Raw genomic sequence first — 19,648 nt, forward strand, 5'->3', positions numbered from 1 at the left:
GGGGCTGGCTAGAGACCCAGAGGCGCAGAGCGGAGAGGCCTGCGGCGAGGATGGAGGGCCTGGCAGTGCGGTTGCTGCGCGGCAGCAGGCTGGTGAGTGCGTTCGAGGCTGGCGTCCTGGGGGCCCAGGGCGACCTTGGCCCCTGGAATCGCAGCTGGCAGAGCCTTCTAACGGGCCTCGGGGCGCCGGCCTGAGCCCCGCTCCACGTCCTGGGTCCCCAGACTCTTTACCCGCGGGCAGTCTATGACCCCGACCCCCTTCAGGCCTCTGGTGGAGGCAGCTGGTGGCAAGGGGGTCGGGGCTGTCTAGAAGCTGCTTTGGCGGAGCAAGTACCTTGAGTGGAGTCGGAGGGTCGCGTCCGCAAGATGTCCTTTGCAGGCCGTTGCGTCCTGAGAGCCACCGAGTCTGGATCTCTGGATCTCTGGATGCATTTTGCACAGATGTCACCTCCCTGATGCCCTAACGCACCTTTCCCGAGTGATTACATTTCACACCCCCTCCCCCAAAAAAGATAGTTAAAATATAGGCCCAGTCTCATTCTGAGCAGGTGTCTCCCTGTCCTTCCTTCCGCGGCCCCGCTCAAAGGTAGTAAGGGACTTCGGAGTTGTTCGGGCTTCCCGGCCAGGGACAGAGTTCCCTCTGCCCCTTATCTCATGTCTGGAGCCTGGGTATCTTCCGTGGATAGACTCACCGCCGCCCAGGGGAGCCGGAGCCGGTGCCGGTCCCTCTTCCATGAACTTAAGCTGAAACCAGCCTCTTGTTGTGCTTAATTCTTATCTGTGCACCCACACAAACTGTTAACAGCCCCTGTGTTAACATCCTATGCTCTTCACCCCTTGGACCTATTATATAGCATGCTTTTCAGAACATACACATTTGGATACACTTGTATTTGTCAGTACACTTCACTGGGAATTTTCCCACTGCTTACGTGTGCTTTTAATGTTTCCTTTGCATTTGCTTTAATGAGTTAGGCTTTCCAACTGCTGCTTCAGTCTTATGCCCAGAGGCAGAACTCTGACCCTTTTTCTTATTAGAGATAATTAATGTTATTTGACTGTTTTACAGGCCTGAAGTGCAATAAAAAACAGTAAGTGATTATTGTTTAATACTGTTTATAATTGTTGGTTAATAACTTAGCAAAGAAAATTTCTTTGGTTTTACAATTTGACTCTGTTTTAGAGCCAAAATTTATTGACCGCATACTCTGTGGTAGGCACGTTCTCGTTCTACCTGAGTCATCTCAATTCTCACAACCATCTTAACAAGTAGTTTAATCTTGCAGATGCTGAAAAAGAATAATAGCTTGCCCACAGATAGAAAGGGATAGAGCTGGTGGTATTCGAACTCTGGTCTGATTCTAAACTTAACCTTCATATACTACTGTCTCCCCGTCCTTAGAGATATCAAAAACCTATTTTGTTTGAACTTTTGGTTTATTGTGGCTTATAGTCCTTTATAGTTTTTGAAGCTCTTTTACATAAATTAGCTAAATTGATTGAACATCGACTGTAGCATAGTGGTTAAGAACGTAGGTTCTGTAGCTAGGCTGCTTGGATCTGAACCCAGGCCCTCTCACTTCCTAGTGGTATAACCTTGGACAGGTTATGCTTTGGGTCTCAGTTTCCTGGTCTGTAAATGGAGAGAATAATTGTGCGTATTCCAAAATTGTTGTGAAAATTAAATGAGCTCATATGTTCATGTAAGGCACTTAGAATAGTGCTCGGAATGTAGTCAGCTCTCGGTAAATATCAGCTCTTACTGCCATGCACGAAGCATTGTGTGCTATGCCAGATGTAATAATGAATAAAATACTCTACCTCCAAGAAGTTTATCTTTTAGAGGAAAGGTTAGAACTATGTGCAACTAACCCCATGTCATGTAGGTGTGGAACAAATCCTAAGGGGCTACAGTCTGCGTGCAGATTCAGAAGATAGAAATGACTAGGACCATTGGGGAAGTGATAGGCTCTTTGGAAGCTGGGTTAGAGTTTAGGAGGGGAAAGGAGTGGTCAGAAAACTGCAACAAAAGGGGACTGAGGCCACTTTAGGGAATTGGGGGTTGATCCTTTTGGATTGTTAGGAGCCATTGAAGGTCAAGAGCTTTGGAGTTTCCTCATGCCACAGTGTAGGTAGATGGCTGTGGACACAAGTGGCATGGAGTGGGGAGAAATGCAAGGTAGGGCTAATTTTGGTTTCTATCCAGAGGCAAATGGAAAGCTAGCATTTACTCACTTATTGTAGACCAGGGACAGCATTTTACACCCACTACCCTATTTACTCTTCCTGTAAACCTCTGAAGTAGGTATATTAGTGGCTTCATCTTGCAAATGAGGAACTCGGAGGCAATAACCAGTGTTCCCAAGTCACATAACAATCAGATTGCAATGCTGACCTTCAGCCTACCCCTGCCTTCTCAGAAGGTCTCTCCTAGTCCTGCAGATGGATTAGAACTGTCCTGCCCATTTGGTCTAAGCAACCCAATTAGTGGAGAATTGGACCTTGTAGTTAACCTGTGGTTCCAAAGCATTTTAATGTAGCTTGATATCTTTTTTTTTTTTTTTTTGAGACGGAGTCTTACTCTGTCGCCCAGGTTGGAGTGCTGTGGTGCGATCTCAGTTCACTGTAACCTATGCCACCCGGATTCGAGCGATTCTCCTGCCTCAGCCTCCCGAGTAACTGGGATTACAGGCGCCTGCCACCTTGCCTGGCTAATTTTTGTAGTTTTAGTACAGATGGGGTTTCACCATCTTGGTCAGCAAGATGGAAATGGTCTCAAACTCCTAACTTCATGATCCACCCGCCATGGCCTCCCAAAATGCTGGGATTACAGGCGTGAGCCACCACACCAGGCCGCTTGATGTCTTTTAAGAGATGATTTTTTTTTTTTTTAGACAAGTTTTCACTCTCTTGCCCAGGCTGGAGTGTAGTGGCGTGATCATAGCTCACCGTAACCTTGAACTCCTGGCTCAAGTGATTCTCTGACCTCAGCTCCCCGGGAGCTAGGACCACAGGCATGTGTCACTGCACCTGGCTAATTTTTAAAGTGTTTTGTAGAGATGAGGTCTCACTGTGTTGGCCAGGCTGGTCTGGAACTCCTGGCCTCAAGCGATCCTCCCACCTCACCCTCCAAAATGCTGGGATTACAGGCATGAGCCATTGCACCCAGCCAAGAGGTGATTCTTGACAAATATCCTTGACGTGAATTCTTGTTCAGTTAATTCTCTGGACATCTGCCAGACAGCAGCTGCCAAAATACATATAATTCTTGTTGTTTAACTTTTTGCTCTTCAACAAAACCAGAAGTATTTTTTCTGGACATATATTTGGCATCCAGGTAGAGAGAACACAAATGGTTTGAATGTGTCCCCCAAAATTCATGTGTTGGAAGCTTGATCCCCAGTGCGGAGGTTTTGAGTGGTGGGGCCTAATGGGAAGTGTTTGGGTCATAGTGTGTCCAGAATTGGTGGGTTCTTGGTCTCACTGACTTCAAGAATGAAGCCACGGACCCTCGCGGTGAGTGCTACAGTTCTTAAAGGCGGTGTGTCTGGAGTTTGTTCCTTCTGATGTTCGGATGTGTTCGGAGTTTCTTCCTTCTGGTGGGTTTGTGGTGTCACCGGCTCAGGAGTGAAGCTGCAGACCTTCACGGTGAGTGTTACAGCTCTTAAGGCGGCACATCTGGAGTTGTTCGCTCCTCCCGGTGGGCTTGTGGCCTCGCTGGCTTCAGGAGTGAAGCTGCAGACCTTCGCGGTGAGTGTTACAGCTCATAAAGGCAGTGTGGACTCAAAGATTGAGCAGCGGCAAGATTTATTGCAAAGAGCTAAAGAACAAAGCTTCCACAGTGTGGAAGGGGACCCGATTGGATTGCCACTGCTGGCTCGGCAGCCTGATTGGTCTGTTTTACAGACAGCTGATTGGATTGGTCTGTTTTGACAGGGTGCTGATTGGTGCATTTACAATCCCTGAGCTAGACACAAAAGTTCTCCACCTCCCCACTAGATTAGCTAGATACAGAGTGCTGATTGGTGTATTTACAAACCCTGAACTAGACACAGAGTGCGGATTGGTGCATTTACAAACCTTGAGCTTGATACAGAGTGCTGATTGGTGTATTTACAATCACTTAGCTAGACATAAAGATTCTTCAAGTCCCCACCAGATTAGCTAGATACAGAGTACCGATTGGTGCATCCACAAACCCTGAGCTTGATACAGAGTGCTGATTGGTGTATTTACAATCCCTTAGCTAGACATAAAGATTCTTCAAGTCACCACCAGATTAGCTAGATACAGAGTACCGATTGGTGCATCCACAAACCCTGAGCTAGACACAGGGTGCTGATTGGTGTGTTCACAAACCTTGAGCTAGACACTGAGTGCTGATTGGTGCACTCACAATCCCTTAGCTAGACACAAAGGTTCTCCAAGTCCCCACTAGACTCAGGAGCCCAGCTGGCCTCACCCAGTGGATCTTGCACCAGTGCCGCAGGTGGAGCTGCCTGCCAGTCTCGCGCCTCGTGCCTGCACTCCTCAGCCCTTGGGCGGTTGATGGGACTGGGTGCAGTGGAGCAGGGGGTGGCGCTCGTCGGGGAGGCTCAGGCCGTGCAGGAGCCCACTGGCGGTGGCGGGGAGACTCAGGCATGGTGGGCTGCAGGTCCCGGGGCCTGCCCCGCGGAGAGGCAGCTAAGGCCTGGCTAGAAATCGAGCGCGGCGCCGGTGGGCCAGCACTGCTGGGGGACCCGGCGCACCCTCCACAGCTGCTGGCCTGGGTGCTAAGCCCCTCACTGCCCGGGGCCGCAGGGCCTGCCGGCCGCTCCGAGTGCAGGGCCTGCCAAGCCCACGCCCACCCGGAACTCTAGCTGGCCCACAAGCGCCACGCAGCCCTGGTTCCCGCCCATGCCTCTCCCTCCACACCTCCCCGCAAGCCGAGGGAGCTGGCTCCAGCCTTGGCCAGCCTAGAGAAGGGCTCCCACGGTGCAGCGGTGGGCTGAAGGGCTCCTCAAGCGTGGCCAGAATGGGCGCCGAGGCCGAGGAGGCGAGGCACCGAGAGCAAGCGAGGGCTGCCAGCATGCTGTCACCTCTAAATAGGGGAACTGGCCTCGTAAATTATTAATGCTGTTTTTGAGAGAATGAGTTCCTCATTAAAGGACAACTTTGGCCTTCTCTTGCTCTCTCTTTCTCTCCCCTCATTTCTCACTCTCACCTTCTCTCACCCTCTTGCCTTTCTCTTTGGAATGACACATCTCTTAACCTGAGAACTTGGAACAGCTGACTCATAATAAATGTTCTTAAGTACTTAGAGCAGCTGACTCATTATAAATAATCAGTAAACATTAGCTATTTTTAAAATTAATTAATTAAGTTAGTTTTTTAGAGACAGGATCTTGTTCTGTCACCCAGGCTGGAGTGCAGTGATACAGATCATGGCTCACTGAAGCTTCAAAATCCTGGACTCAAGTGATCCTCCCGCCTTGGCCTCCCAAAGTGCTGGGATTGCAGGCATGAGCCACTGTGCCTGGACAACACTAGCTATTAATGTAGGCAGAACACATTACCAATAACTTTGATAGGATGTTTTAGGGTATCATTGCCTTACGCAAAGTACACAGGTAAGTTTTGGGGATCTGTAGGTTTACAACAGGGTTCTTGACATCAAAAAAAATTACATTTTTAATTGGGGAGGTAGGGTATCTGTTTTAAAAATGAATTTTAGAACAGTAGAAGATAGCATGTTGCTAATGCTAAATAAATAATATGGGCAGATATGCTTATAGGAGATGGGGCTTCAAGTGACCATTCAAAGGAGCAGTTTTAGGTAAAGCAGCAGAGGGGTGCGGATTCCAGGGCAAGGAAATGTGCACGCAAAGGTGTAGAGGTAGGAATATGCTCAGCTTGTTTAAGAAATAATATGCCACTATAGGTGATGTAACAGTTTTGCAGAAGGGTGGAATGGGTTCAGATGGTAACTGCCTAAGGGTTAAGTTTATCCTTGATCTCAAAGCAGTGAGGAGCTGATAGCTGCCAAGCAGTTTTGGCTTCTCCAATCTAGGAAGCTAGAAAGAATCACAGAGTGAAGCAAGCCTGGATTTCTTCTGCCAGTTCCTACATGGGTGTTGCCCAGACAGGGTTGCCCACAGTCCTGGAGAAGAGCCCTTTTATTTACCAAAACACAAGAATTTATAATGTTTACTACTCAACACAGAAATGGCAGTTACTTTGCACATGCAAATATATCTTTGTCTTCCGTTGATCTCTCTCTGGTGCTAGGAAGACTAAGTAACCATAAAGACACTCTCCCTGGCAACCATCAAAGAGTCTTTCTCCTTTCTCTCGGGATCCTCACACACTTGCCCTGTCTTGGGCCTACATTGTCGTTTTTGTTGTTGTTGTTCCTCATGCCACCTTGTCTAAGAAGGCCCACATTATCTTGACTCATTCTCTGTAAGGGCTAGACCAGGTTTTCTGTGTTTTGTAGGATGCTAAGCAGTATCCCTGGCCTCTACTCATAAGAGGCCAATAGCTTGCCTGAGCTATGACAACCCAAAATGTCTCCATCCATGGCCAAATGTCCCGTGGGGGCAAAATTACTGGACTGAGAACCACGGATGTAGACCTGTGTAACAGTGTACTCCATGAAGGAGGGGAAAGGTGGCCTTTCTCCTTATAACCTGGTAGGGAACTTTCTCTCTAAAACTATTTGCCATACTCAGTTTGTTGGCTATAGAAATTGATCTACAGTTTCAAAGATTTTTGTTGAAAGATTTCAATAGCAGCCATTGAGATTTTAAGGTGCTGTTTGCAAAGGAGTTTACAAGATAAAACAGTCAGCAGCTCACAAAAGGAACTCATCACGTGAGACTCTGAAGCCACATCCCACTTAGACCATTTCACAAGTCCACTTTTAGAGTAACAAGGCCCTCAATGAGGGTGATAGCACCGATGATCAGAAAGGAAGACATGTTAATAAAAGAAGACTTGAGAAGATGTGGGAATTATCTTGAAATGGAGGAATTAGATGGACTACACATTTTCTAAATGAAATAGCTTAGTGATAGGCAAAGATTGGGACATCTGGAGAAAAAGTAATTTAGGGTGACAGAAGAAAGGTAATTCTGTTTTAGACACGTTTTAGGTATTAATAAAACTTACAACTGAAAGTGTCTTAGAAGCTGGTCAGAAATGGGTCTAGAAAGTGGACCAGTGCTAAAGCTATGGTAAAAGGAAAACTTCATCTGAATTAAATTTAAAGGAGTTTAATTGAGCAGCAAATTGGGCAGCCCCCAGAACCACAGCAGATTTGGAGAGACTCCAGGGATGCCTTGTGGTCATAACAAATTTATAGACAAATGAAGGGAAGTGACAAATCGGAAGTGAGGTACACAGTGGCTGGATTGGTTACAGATTTGCAATTGTCTTATTTGAACACAGTTAGAACACTCAGCAGTCCATGAGTGGTTGAAGGATGGCTGCTGGGATTGCCCAAGACGCAGCTACTGTTACAGGCGCATACTCCTAAGTTAGGCTTTCAATCTTGTCTACCTATTAAGCTAGGTTACAGTTCATCCACAAGGACTCAAATATAGACATACGGAGTCCTTCTCAGGCAATATTTAGTTTGCTTTAAGAGCTATAAATGCTAGCCAAAACCATAAATGGGTATGGGGCATCGGAAGGATAGTGAAGAAACAGGAGTGGACAAGTCAGCCTTTGGGGTACAGTTCAGACCATCCTGGGTAAATGTTGAGAAGCAAAGAAGCAAAAGGAGACTTAGTAGGATATCAGAGGAAATTCTGTGACATATGTGTTTTATTCAGAATTGGAGCAAAAGAAGGAAAAGGATATTTAAAAGCAAACATACAGAATTTGTGTCACATAAAAAAAACAAACCTGTGAGAGCAGAAGCGGTGTGTTTTGAGAAGTGCAAGACATGGCAGGGCCAGCTAATGGAGCTGGTGGAATGCATACTGAGGAGGTTGTGAACGTGGTTCATGCTCCCTTCACTCAATTTGGTAACCCCCTGTCCCCAGCCAGTGTTGAATATGCAACCCCTGATATGGAACTCTGGTCTTTTGGCATCTATTTAAGTGTTTCTTCTGACTATCTTCCCTGAAAAAGAGGGTGAGTTGAAGAAATTCCCAATGCCTGTTAAGTTGTTGGACCCAAGTAATTATGTGATTAAAAAAAAATTTAAACTCCATAATAGTCCTATCTTTTAAAATTTCTTTGAAAATAGAAGTGAGTGTCTTGTTTCATTTTTGTCCACTGGTAATTTGGGAAAGAGAAATTGTTGACTTGGCTAAGGTCACAATAAAGGCAAGCCCAACTCCTTTACCTTATATTTATTTATTTATTTTTTTGAGACAGAGTTTCATTCTTGTTGCCTAGGCTGGAGTGCAATGCGTGATCTCAGCTCACTGCAACCTCCTCTTCCCGGGTTCAAGTGATTCTCCTGCCTCAGCCTCCCAAGCAGCTGGGATTATAGGCACCTACCACCATGCCCGGCTAATTTTTGTATTTTTAGTAGAGACAGGATTTTACCATCTTGGTCAGGCTGGTCTGGAACTCCTGACCTCACGTGATCCATCCACCTAGGCCTCCCTAAGTGCTGGGATTACAGGTGTGAGCCACCTCACCGGGTGGACACAGTTTCTAATGGCCGGCATTTGCATGTCTAAGCTTGCTGTCCCAGCTTGAAGAGCCGGGCTTTCCTGCTAGACAAGAAACGTTCCTGGAGCTGCTTTAAAAGAAACAAAAACTTCCCAAGGACACCTTTTCCTCTCTATAGGCCTAAAATAATTTTTTAATAACTCCCATAATGAAAGTCGGGGGTGGCTTCCAGGCTATAGGTAAATTTAAACATTTTCTGGTTGACAATTGGTTGAGTTGGGCTAAAAACCTGGGGTGAATAGAAAGGAATGTCTGGGTTGTGATAAGAAGTTGTAGAGACCAAAGTTTAATCATGCAGATGAAGCCTCCAGGTAGCCGACTTCAGAGAGAATGGATTGAAATGCTTCTTATTAGGCCTAAAGTTCTGTGTTGATGTTCATGCTGGTGAGGTATAATGAGGTATGTTCGACCCCCACTTCCCATCATGGCCTGAAACAGTCTCTCAGGTGAAATTTTAAGACCCCTGGCTAGGGAGGAAGTCTGTTCAGCTGGTTTGGGGGGCCTTAGAATCTTATTTTTGGTTTACACATGATTAAAAAATACTTTAGCTCCATAATAATCCTATCTTTTAAAATTTCTTTGAAAATAGAAGTGAGTGTCTGGTTTCATTTTTGTCCACTGGTAATTTGGGAAAGAGAAATTGTTGACTTGGCCAAGGTCACACTACAGGCAAACCCATTTCCTTTGTGTTGATTCCCTTGCCTTGTGTCTTGTCTTGGCTTATTTAACCCTCTTTTGAGGGAATCACTATAATTCTTAAAAGGGCAAGGCATTGTTAGGAACTCCTAAAGACTAGAATGAAGAATCAGAGACTGGTAGATGGGAAAGGTTGCGTTTTTAGCAGTTTTGGAGAATACCTAGAACAGAAGCTATTATTTATGGAGAAAGCAAGCAGAGGTTGGACAGATTCTGGTATAGAAGTTTTGGCTTGGGGATATAAAATTGGGATCAACTTAAAATCTAATCCATTGGTACACTGCTAATAAAGGCATACCCAAGACTGGGTAATTTATAAAGAAAAAGAGATTTAATGGATTCGCAGTTCCACGTGGCTGACGAGGCCCCACAATTGTGGTGAGGAAGGTGAGGGAGGAGCAAAGGCACGTCTTACATAGCAGCAGGCAAGAGAGAAGTGCAGGGGAACTGCCCTTTATAAAACGATCAGATCTTGTGAGACTTATTCACTATCACGAGAACAACACAGGAACAACCCGCCCCCATGATTCAGTTACCTCCCACTGGGTCCCTCCCATGACACATGGGGATTATGGGAGCTACAATTCAAGATGAGATTTGGGTGGGGACACAGCCAAACCATATCAAGCAGGTATGAACAATTTGGCTTAGGAAATCAAAATCAAAACTGAATATAGTGTTAAGTATTTTTTCATTAAATTCTAATAAATTGTTGACACAATTCTCATAAGCCGTATCAATTCCTGTAATTTTAAAGCCCATAAAGTAGTTTAATTTTCCTTTGGGGGTGGTGAGAGAATTTGTTTAAACTTCATTTCAGATAATTGTAGATTCTTATGCAGTTATAAAAAGAAATACAGATAGATCCTGCATCTTGTTATCTGATTTGCCCCTGTGTAACACTTTACCAACCTATAGTACAATATCACAACCAGGAAATTGACATTGATACTGTCAACCTAAATAACAGAGAGAGGCTCTCTGAAAGAAAAGATGCTTCTTTGGGAATAGAGCATTGCCATGGAAATACACGTGCCATAGGATTACATAATTGTTTTAAAATAATTATAGTTGGCTACAAGATCAATAACAAGGATGACGCCAGTCCAGGATTGAACAGGCAGTTACTGGGGCAGATAGGCCTTGCAGAAGCATTTTTTCTGTAAGATTGTGATGGCCTTTGTGCAATATTTTGGTGTTTGCAGTCTTTGGTGATAGTTTTTTATCAGGCTTACAAATATGAGAACCCTTTTTTCATGGCCTTGCCTCGCTCTATTTGTCAAGGTTTGTTTGTTTGTTTTACATTACTGACTCCATTTTGATTCTGACAACTTTTACAATATGATACAGCAAGCTTTTTCAGATATTCCCAGTTTTACATGTATATGTGTGTGTAGGACTGTGCAGTTCTATCACATATGTTTGTGTATCCACTGCTATAGTCAAGCTACAAGACAGTTCCAACAGCATAAGGATCCCTTGTGTTGTTTGTCCTCTTATAACCACTCGCTACCCCTAACCTCCTGTCCTGGTCTCTAATCCTCGGTAAACACTAGTCTCTAGCTTTATAAATTTGTCATTTCAAGAATATTAGATAAATAGAATCATCCAGTCTTTTTTTTGTTTTTTTGCTGAATAGAATTTATTGTGAGGGAAGGAAAAAAATTTTCATCCACCCTCTTAGGTTCAGTGACTGGGGCTTGGAAATTAAATAACAAAAGACAGATTAACAGTAGTAAAAGGTTTATTTCCTATGCATAATGAGCAAGTACCTGGCTCATTAAATAGTTAAAGGGTTTTGTTTATATACCTACCTTAGGTATATAAAGGAAGGGGGAGAAAGGGCCTCTATAGGAAAAACAAATAGGTCTCTTTGGGAAAGACAAACAGGTAGTAAGAAATTGTGTAATGATATTTGCCTATTCATCTTCAGGGCCAAAAACTCCCCAGGAGGGGGAATTTCTAATAGCCTCATTTCCCAGAGGTTGCTGCTTTAGTCAGTTAAGGGAAGCTCCTAGAAGGCTTTTCCTCCACTTGTTGAATCTCAGATGTCTTCAGCTTAAAAGAAGCATTATGCCAACTCTGGGATTCCAAATGGGTCGCTGCACCATGATAGGGATGTACCACAGATGTTTAACCATTCACCCACTGAAGGACATCTGGATTGTTTCCAGTTTTTTACTACTGTGGCTAAAGCTGCTGTGGACATTTGTGTGCAGATCTTTGAACTTCTGTTGTTACTTCTCTTGAATAAATATAAAAGAGTACAACTGCTGGGTCATATGATAATTGCATAAGAAACAGCTAAACTGTTTTCCAGAGTGACTGTACCATTTTACATTCTCAAAAACAATGTATGAGAGATCCATTTGCTCATCTCCCTTGCCAGTGCAGCAAATCAAAATATTTTACCCCAAAATGTACTTTGACATATTTTGAAATGGTTGCCATAGTGCCAGCAGACCAGGCTGACCAACATGGTGAAACCCCGTCTCTACTAAAAATACAAAAATTAGCTGGGTGTGATGGCACGCGGCTGTAATCCTAGCTACTCAGGAGGCTGAGGCAGGAGACTCGCTTGAACCCGGGAGGCAGAGGTTGCAGTGAGCCAAGATCGTGCAACTGCACTCCAGCCTGGGTGACAGAGCAAAACTCCGTCTCAATAAATAAATAAATAAATACATACATAAGAAGACTTAGCTTTCCAAACAATCTGTCTCCTGTCTTCTTCTTCTATTTGGTAGTTTATTTGCAAGGCAAACAAGCATCTTTCATTATCCTTTACAATTAAATGAAAATTGTGTTCAAGGGAGAGAAAGCCAAATTTCACCCCTGCATTAGTCCACCATTAATATTAACCCCAGTATTTTATTTTTAAAATGAAACCTTATAGACAAATCCATTCAATCTTAATCAGTTTGACTATAAGATGGGATTCTCATAATCCCTTTACAAATTTTTGTTAAAGAGTACATCAGTGCCTTAAGAAAACCTTGTGCTTTTATTCCAATGCTCAATTTATGGAAAAATCAAATAATACCCTTTTGAATGTAGTCAATATGTTCACACAGAGAATTTCTTTTACAAGATTAATTTTTACAAACCTTCCACAACTTGTTCAAACCTTTAGCTTTATCTTACTTAACTGAAAACAATCCTTTAACCCTCTAAACTAGGCAAATATTTACATTCCCATGGCTTCTTATAATCTTTTACCAAAAACATATTTTACTTTCTTTACACACCTTGCATGTCTTTTTTATATAAACATCACACGCATAACACATATATAACTACACAGATAGACAAAACGTGCAGTAGTTGTAAGATTTTTCATTTGCCAATCTGCTAATTGGATTACTGGCCTCAGGGTGGAGCTCTTCACGCAACAGGGCCAGGAAAACATGCAGTTTCTATGACTTAATAAGCAGATATAGCTGGAAGACAAGAATAGATTTTGAGAGGGATCTATCATAGCACTTTTAATTCTTGGGGTTCTGAGGAAAACAGGGTTTTTCTCCCAAAATAGGGTCCTTGGTGACTTTTCTGTTTTTCCCAAAGAGTCCCATGCTCTCAGAAGTGATCTTAGGGCCTCTCATGTGTGCATTAAGAGTGGCAAGACAAAATGGAGAAAAATAACTCAGTCAACTGTGAAGAGAATTAAAAAAAGCTTCTTTCCAGCAAAACAAGATTCAAGAAGAGAAAAAAAATACATAAAGGCCTTTTAAGTATACATATAGCTTGGATATCCACTTTTAATTAGGCTTTTAACCATAATGCTCTTTAAAAACAAATTCTTTTAAATCTCCTATTACCCAACTCTAGCCATGCCAAGTGGCCAATATTTCTGGCTTTGAACTTTACCAAAGGTAACCTCCCAGGTTCTCAGAGAAAGGAATATTTGAAACAGTTCATGGAGGGGAAGAGAATCAGCAAATGGTAAATGTCACACAGATATCAAACCAGAAAGGACTCATTCCCCAAGCCAAGATTGAACCTATGACACCATTGTAAAATGATGAAGCCACAGCTACTGAGCCACTGCATTGGACAATCTCCACTGCCCCTCCCAGAAGGAGTCTAGAGTAGTTAATTTTGAGCTTGCAAAGACTTCCAACTACTTAAGATTATTTTAGAGCTAACTATGACATGAACCCCAAAATTCCTGGTCTGGGTAGTGGAGACTAAGAGAAAGTACCGCACGTGGTTATAAGGGAACCTTTTCAAATCTGTGATTTGAGCTAACTTTTAGATAACTTCTGAATTACACAAAATTATACTTTTTCTCACTAATAACACAAGCCTTTCTGGCATATTCTGTATTCAGAATTATGTGTTAATTCGAATTCTTATCCTTAGTAACCCAAGGATATCCTTAGTAACCTAAAACTTTAATGAAACCATAAAGAACAAGAAATCCTGAAGTATCAGATATGGGCATTTATACATAAGAACATTTGGACAATTTTAGAAACATATTTCCCCATATCACAACCCTTTCTTAATTGAAAATGAGTCAGATAGTAAATGAGCATCAAAATTAACTTTAAGATTTTAATTTACACAAAAAATTTACCTAAAACATTTATCCCATTTACTGTACTCAATTCCTTCATTTTCAACAGTTTATCTAGATTACTTCTGCAAACTGAGATATTAGACACTATAATTGTTTTTAATAGCCAGTGAACATCCAGTGCTCACCTAAACCTAAGTAAGAGCCTTAAAGTTAAATACACAGATATTTTTACCGATAACTCAGAAGACTTGGCTAACAACATTAAATTACTCTCATTTGTCAAAACAAACAAACAAAAAGGCATGCAAACGAAGATCATTTTGTTTTGGCTGGGTTTATAGTTTTATAACCTTCTATGCCAAACCCTGACACCTCAAAATATCTAGCAGAGACAAATATAAAATCCAGACAAAAATGTATGTTGACAATTCTGAAGGCATTTCTATTTTTGTTTTATCAATAGTTTTAAAACCAGCTTGTTTATACTTAAGTCATGTGAACTTGAAATTTGCTTAGACTTATGTACTTAATTTATGAGCACTCTTTTACTTAAAAGCCAATTTGGTAGAAACAACATATAATAGTAAGTATACATACAAATAAACACATCTAGACAGGTATACACACACACACACAAACAAAGATCCAGTAGCTTTTACCTTGGAACTCTAGCCATGAGATAGCAATACAGGCTCACCAGTTTTACTTTGTATGCCCCAATAGATAATCCAATGAAGGCTGTGAACCAAAACTGCGGGTAAAGCAGTTTCCATGGCAGTTTGGTTTTTAAAGGCCAAACCTCCCCAGGCTCCAAAGAACACTGGGGCCAAACAGCACTAAAGGAGAGCATCCCTCGCTAACCAGGCCCCCTGCTTAGAACAGCAGCACAAAAGCCTGGGTACATGCAATTCCATCCCACTTTCCCATTCAGCAGCAAACTCCAGATTCCAAACAATATTGGGACCAAACAGTATTGCAAAATTTCCCATTGTCATCTGTGAAAGAAAATTCTAAGGAGGGCTTAGTACTGGACCTCAGAACCTCTGCCTAGGGTGTCCCCTTTGGAGAGGTTGAAGTCTGGAGTTCGATCCCCTGAGGTGTCCCCCTTTGGGGTCCAGTCTTAGAGTGTCAGACATCTCTGACCTTAGGTGGGCACCAATCCCACTTTGCATGTTTTCCCTCCAGAGGCAATGGCCTACTATGAGCTTTCCTTTGGTTCCTGGATGTAATCCCCAACTTTTAGCATCCTCATAATTTGATAAGGCCACGCTTTCCCATGCTTCCCATTCCACTAAAGTGATAGCCATGAATGGTAATGATAGGAGCTGGAGGCTGAGTGGGTTTCTTTTGTCCTTAGCCAGTCAAATAGAGGAAGGGAAGAATTTAGTATAAGAAAAGAAGGTTTAAGTTAACTGAAACATGTTCGAGTTCTCTCCAGATTAGCTGCGCCACATGTAGGGATTAGGGACCATAGCCGGAAATGATAGAAGAGTCCTTACCTCTTCCAGGGAGGGCAGCTATCCTCAGTCACTCCTTGGCCTTCAGGCAACACTGGAGAGTGGCCCTGGCCAGAAACCTGCAGTTGCCTCCGTGTTTAGGTGCTGCCCACCAAGGATCCTGAGTTGGAAAGGAAAAGAGAGAGAGATTCCCCTGGATGGAGCAGAAAGGAAAAGGTGAAAAATAAACCCCAAACTTTGGGCTTACCACCTGGCTGGCTAACCAAACTATGCTACCAGTGTAGGGTGTCCAGGTTCTTGGCATTTTGAACAAAGAGTTGGACAAAATGCACAAACAAAGGAAGAAAAGAATGAAGCAACAAAAGCAAAGATGTATTGAAAATGAAAGCACACCTAACAGGGTGGGGCCGGGCCCAAGCAAGCAGCTCGTGGGGCTGGGCCCAAGCAGGCAGCTCAAGGGCCCAGTTACAGAATTTTCTGGGGTTCAAATACACTCTAGAGGTTTCCCATTGGTTACTTGGTATATGATGTTTCCTGCCATAGCTGAAGTATAGTTACAAAATTATTTACTTGGCTTTAGAAGGTTAGAGGCTTTCCATTTAATTTAGTTCTAGGAAACCCTTAGGTTCCCTGCCTCCAGACCCTATTTCCTGCCTCAGTCCCAGCTATCCTGGAGGCTGAGGTGGGAGGATCACCTGACCCTGGGAAGTTGAGGTTCCAGTGAGCAGTGGGCGTGCCACTGCCCTCATGCCTGGGCGACAGAGTGAGACTGTCATGAAAACAAAAAGAAAACAAAACAAATGTTAAACCAGATCACCCTGAAGAAAAAGTAATTAATGAAAATAAAAGGCTTTTAGGCCAGGCACAGTCGCTCATGTCTGCAATCACTGCACTTTGCGGGGGCCTAGCCACAAGGATCGCTTGAATCTAGGAGTTTGACATCAGCCTGGGCAACATAGCGAGACCTCGTCTCTGCAACAACAAGAACAACAACAAAAAATTAGCTGGGAATGGTGTGCACGTATAGTCCCAGCTACTTGGAAGGCTGAGGTGGGAGGATCATCTGAGTCCGGGAGGTCAAGACTGCAGTCAGCTGTGATCACATCACTGCACTCCAGCCTGGGTGACAAAGTGAGACCCTGTCACGAAAAATAAATAAATAAATAAATAAATAAAATAATGTGTTTGCATGGCAAAATACCCAAAACTATAAGCGAAGTCAAAAGACAAATCACAAACTGGCTTTTTTAAAAGTTGTAATTCCTGCCATCAAAGAGCTAATTTCCCTAATTTGTATAAAGCTCCTGGAAATCAATGGGAACAGAAAAAGAAATTGAATAGAAAAATGGGCAAAGAACATGAATAAGCTGTATGCAGAAAAAGAAATACAAATGGTTTGTAGACATATGAAAACATGCTCAAATGCATAGGAAGAGAAGCACAAATATAAGAATGCCTGGCCCAGTGTGGTGGTGGCTCACGCCTGTAATCCCAGCACTTTTGGAGGCAGAGGCGGGCAGATCACCTGAGGTCAGGAGTTGGAGACCAGCCTGGCCAACGTGGTGAAACCCTGTCTCTACTAAAAATACAAAAATTAGCCAGGCGTGGTGGTGTGCACCTGTAATCCCAGCTACGCAGGAGGCTGAATCAGGAGAATTGCTTGAACCCAAGCAGTTCTTGGGGGGAGGTTGCAGTGAGCCAAGATGGCGCCACTGCACTCCAGCCTGGGAGACAGAGTGAGACTCTGTCTCACAACAAAAAAACAAACAAAAAAGAGAATGCCTTGTGATACAATTTTTCACCTATCAGATGGGCACAAAAATTTAAATATTAAAACAGCATACTGTTTTGGCCAAGGCTCTGAAAAACAGAACTAATAATAGTCCACCAAAGTATTATGAAAATTTTAAACTGAAAACATCCAATCAGTAGCCACAGGGAAAAACATTATTTAAACTTAAACCGAGCCTTCTGAAAATACAACTGCCTGTGTAAATAAACCTTGTCTCTACTATTGTTAATCTGTCTATAGTTAGTTCAGAGCCCCTCTATCATCACCATTTAACCTGGTTGGTTAGAGAAGTATGTAAATGTATCATTCTTTGGTATTTTATCACGTGTAGATTTGCATAACCACCACTACCATCTAGATGCTCACAAAGATCTCCCTCATTTCAGTTTACTTACAACAAAAGGAGTTTTGTTGTACCTTCCCCAGCCTACCCTACCCCCAGAGGTAATGACTTTTATTAGATTTCTATGCAGTCTAAGGTGGAGCCTAGTTCTAAAAACAAAAACCTTGGTACTTGTACACAGTGGACTATTTTGCAACTATTTAAATTTTAAAAAGGAGTGAAAAAGCTCTCTAAGTCTTAATATGCAAATATCTCTTGAATATATTGCTAAATGAAAAAAAAAAAGGAAGGCACAGAATAGGATACATAGTATGCTACATTTTTGAAAGGACAGGGAGAAAAATAAGAACGTGTATTCCTATTTGCTTATATTTGTTTTAAGAGAACACTAGAAGGATACGTAAGAAACTAATTTAAAAAAAAAAGAAACAGGTTGCCTATGGGAGAGGTTGAGAAGTGGGCTGGATGAGGATGTGATAACAGAGCTTTTTTGAGCCTTGTTTGTATGTTACCTATTAAAACCAGAAGAAAATATTAAAGCCAACTGGAGAAGGGATGTCATGGGGTAGGGCACGTTCATAGATTATTACTTGAACTCTAATAAGTTCAAGATTATTACTTGAACTCTAATAACCAAGCCATAAGTGAATGGTTTGGTTTTTGAAAATCATAAGATGGGTTGAATTTTCAGTCTCCAAAGTCAGGCATGTAAACCACAAATTCCAGCACAAGCTGCACAACAGAATGACCTGGGGTGCTTTTTAGCAGTAAGGATGCCCAGGGCAGAGTCTACTCTTGAATCACAATCTTAGATGTTGTGGCTATGATAGCTCTTTTTTAAGTTCTCCAAGTGATACAGCTATGCAGCTGATATGATTTGGCTGTGTCGCCACCCAAATCTCAACTTGAATTGTATCTGCTAGAATTCTCGCATGTTGTGGGAGGGACACAGGGAAGTAATTTAATTGTGAGGGCCAGTATTTCCCGTGCTATTCTTGTGATAATGAATAAGTCTCATGAGATCTGATGTGTTTATCAGGGTTTCCACTTTTGCTTCTTTCTCATTTTCTGCTGCTGCTATGTAAGAAGTGCCTTTTGCCTCCTGCCATGGTTCAGAGGCCCTCCCAGCCATATGGAACTGTAAGTCCAGTTAAACCTCTTTTTCTTCCCAGTCGCAGGTATGTCTTTATCCACAGTGTGAAAATGGACTAATACAGCAGCCAACATGGTAACCCCTTGTTCCCATACAACGGGTGTGTATGGCCCCTTGGCAGATATCAATCCAGTGTCCACAACTAGGGAGGATTTAGCAAGGGGATTTTATTACTTGTAACAAGTTAAGGAGAACACTGGGATTATTCCCACAACAGTGTCTTCCCTGAGCTTGGGGCTGGATCAGGTTTTGTAAGCATGGGGTAATGAGGTGTGATCTGATTTGATCCTGCAATGAGTTGATGCCAGGAGGCATGATCTGACCAGATCCTGCCAGGGTGTGACCCAGGAGCTCATCTGATTAGATCCTTGATCCTGCCATAAAGTGTCCACTTCTTATAATAATTAAGTCCTTACTCCTCAGTCCCAGCACTTAGGTTCTCTTTGTGGTTGCATGCTTGATTCATCTGGGTATGCCCAGTTTTATGTAACCTGAGGTCCATGACAACTGAAAAACAACTCACCACTTTGTTACATAAAAATGGAATCAGATTGGCCTGGGGAGGCTACACACTGATTTAAATCTCAGGGACATTCTTTCTCAGACACTAATAGATTAGTTGGTAAATGTTACTGTAATAAACTAGTTTAATTATTGTAACAATATTCAGCAGTTAGGATCTTATCCTTAAAATTGTTCTGTGTCATACTAAACACATTATCTAAAACCTACTCCTAGCTTTTAAAAGCAAGCCTACTTTGAATCCCTTTGAAAACAGGCTGGGCATGGTAGCTCAGGCCTATAATCCCAGCACTTTGGGAAGCCAAGGCAGAAGGATCACTTGAGGCCCAGAGTTTGAAACTAGCCTGGGTAACATAGCAAGACTGTCTCTACAAAAAGTTAAAAAATTATCTGGGTGTGGTGTCGCACACCTGGAGTCATAGCTAGTCAGAAAGCTGAGCCAGGAGGATTGCTTGAACCTAGGAGGTAGAGGCCACAGTGAGCCATGGTCCTGCCATTGC

At 42.9% G+C, this 19,648-nt stretch overlaps 1 protein-coding gene across 2 annotated transcripts in view, besides 2 other annotated features; it reads left to right on the top strand.

The window, feature by feature from the left end:
• ACADSB (acyl-CoA dehydrogenase short/branched chain) overlaps window positions 27–19,648 on the top strand; it is a 49,285-nt gene continuing 29,663 nt past the window's right edge. For both annotated transcript variants that reach the window (NM_001609.4, NM_001330174.3), the window contains exon 1: window positions 27–92. In NM_001609.4, the coding sequence (NP_001600.1) occupies window positions 51–92 (42 nt within the window). In that variant the 5' untranslated portion in view covers window positions 27–50. The remainder of the gene's footprint in view (window positions 93–19,648) is intronic.
• Window positions 8,421–9,287: an enhancer, noted in NCBI's record as "OCT4-NANOG hESC enhancer chr10:124776916-124777782 (GRCh37/hg19 assembly coordinates)". NCBI's record gives its function as "activates a minimal SCP1, AML or CMV promoter by ChIP-STARR-seq in naive and primed H9 embryonic stem cells {active_cell/tissue: H9 hESC(naive and primed)}" and the evidence as "EXISTENCE:reporter gene assay evidence [ECO:0000049][PMID:30033119]".
• Window positions 12,554–12,848: a silencer, noted in NCBI's record as "tiled region #2783; HepG2 Repressive DNase matched - State 5:Enh". NCBI's record gives its function as "represses a minimal TATA promoter and a strong SV40 promoter by Sharpr-MPRA in HepG2 cells {active_cell/tissue: HepG2}" and the evidence as "EXISTENCE:reporter gene assay evidence [ECO:0000049][PMID:27701403]".

The sequence above is a fragment of the Homo sapiens genome, chromosome 10, assembly GCF_000001405.40.
Source record: "Homo sapiens chromosome 10, GRCh38.p14 Primary Assembly".
Lineage (NCBI taxonomy): Eukaryota > Metazoa > Chordata > Mammalia > Primates > Hominidae > Homo > Homo sapiens.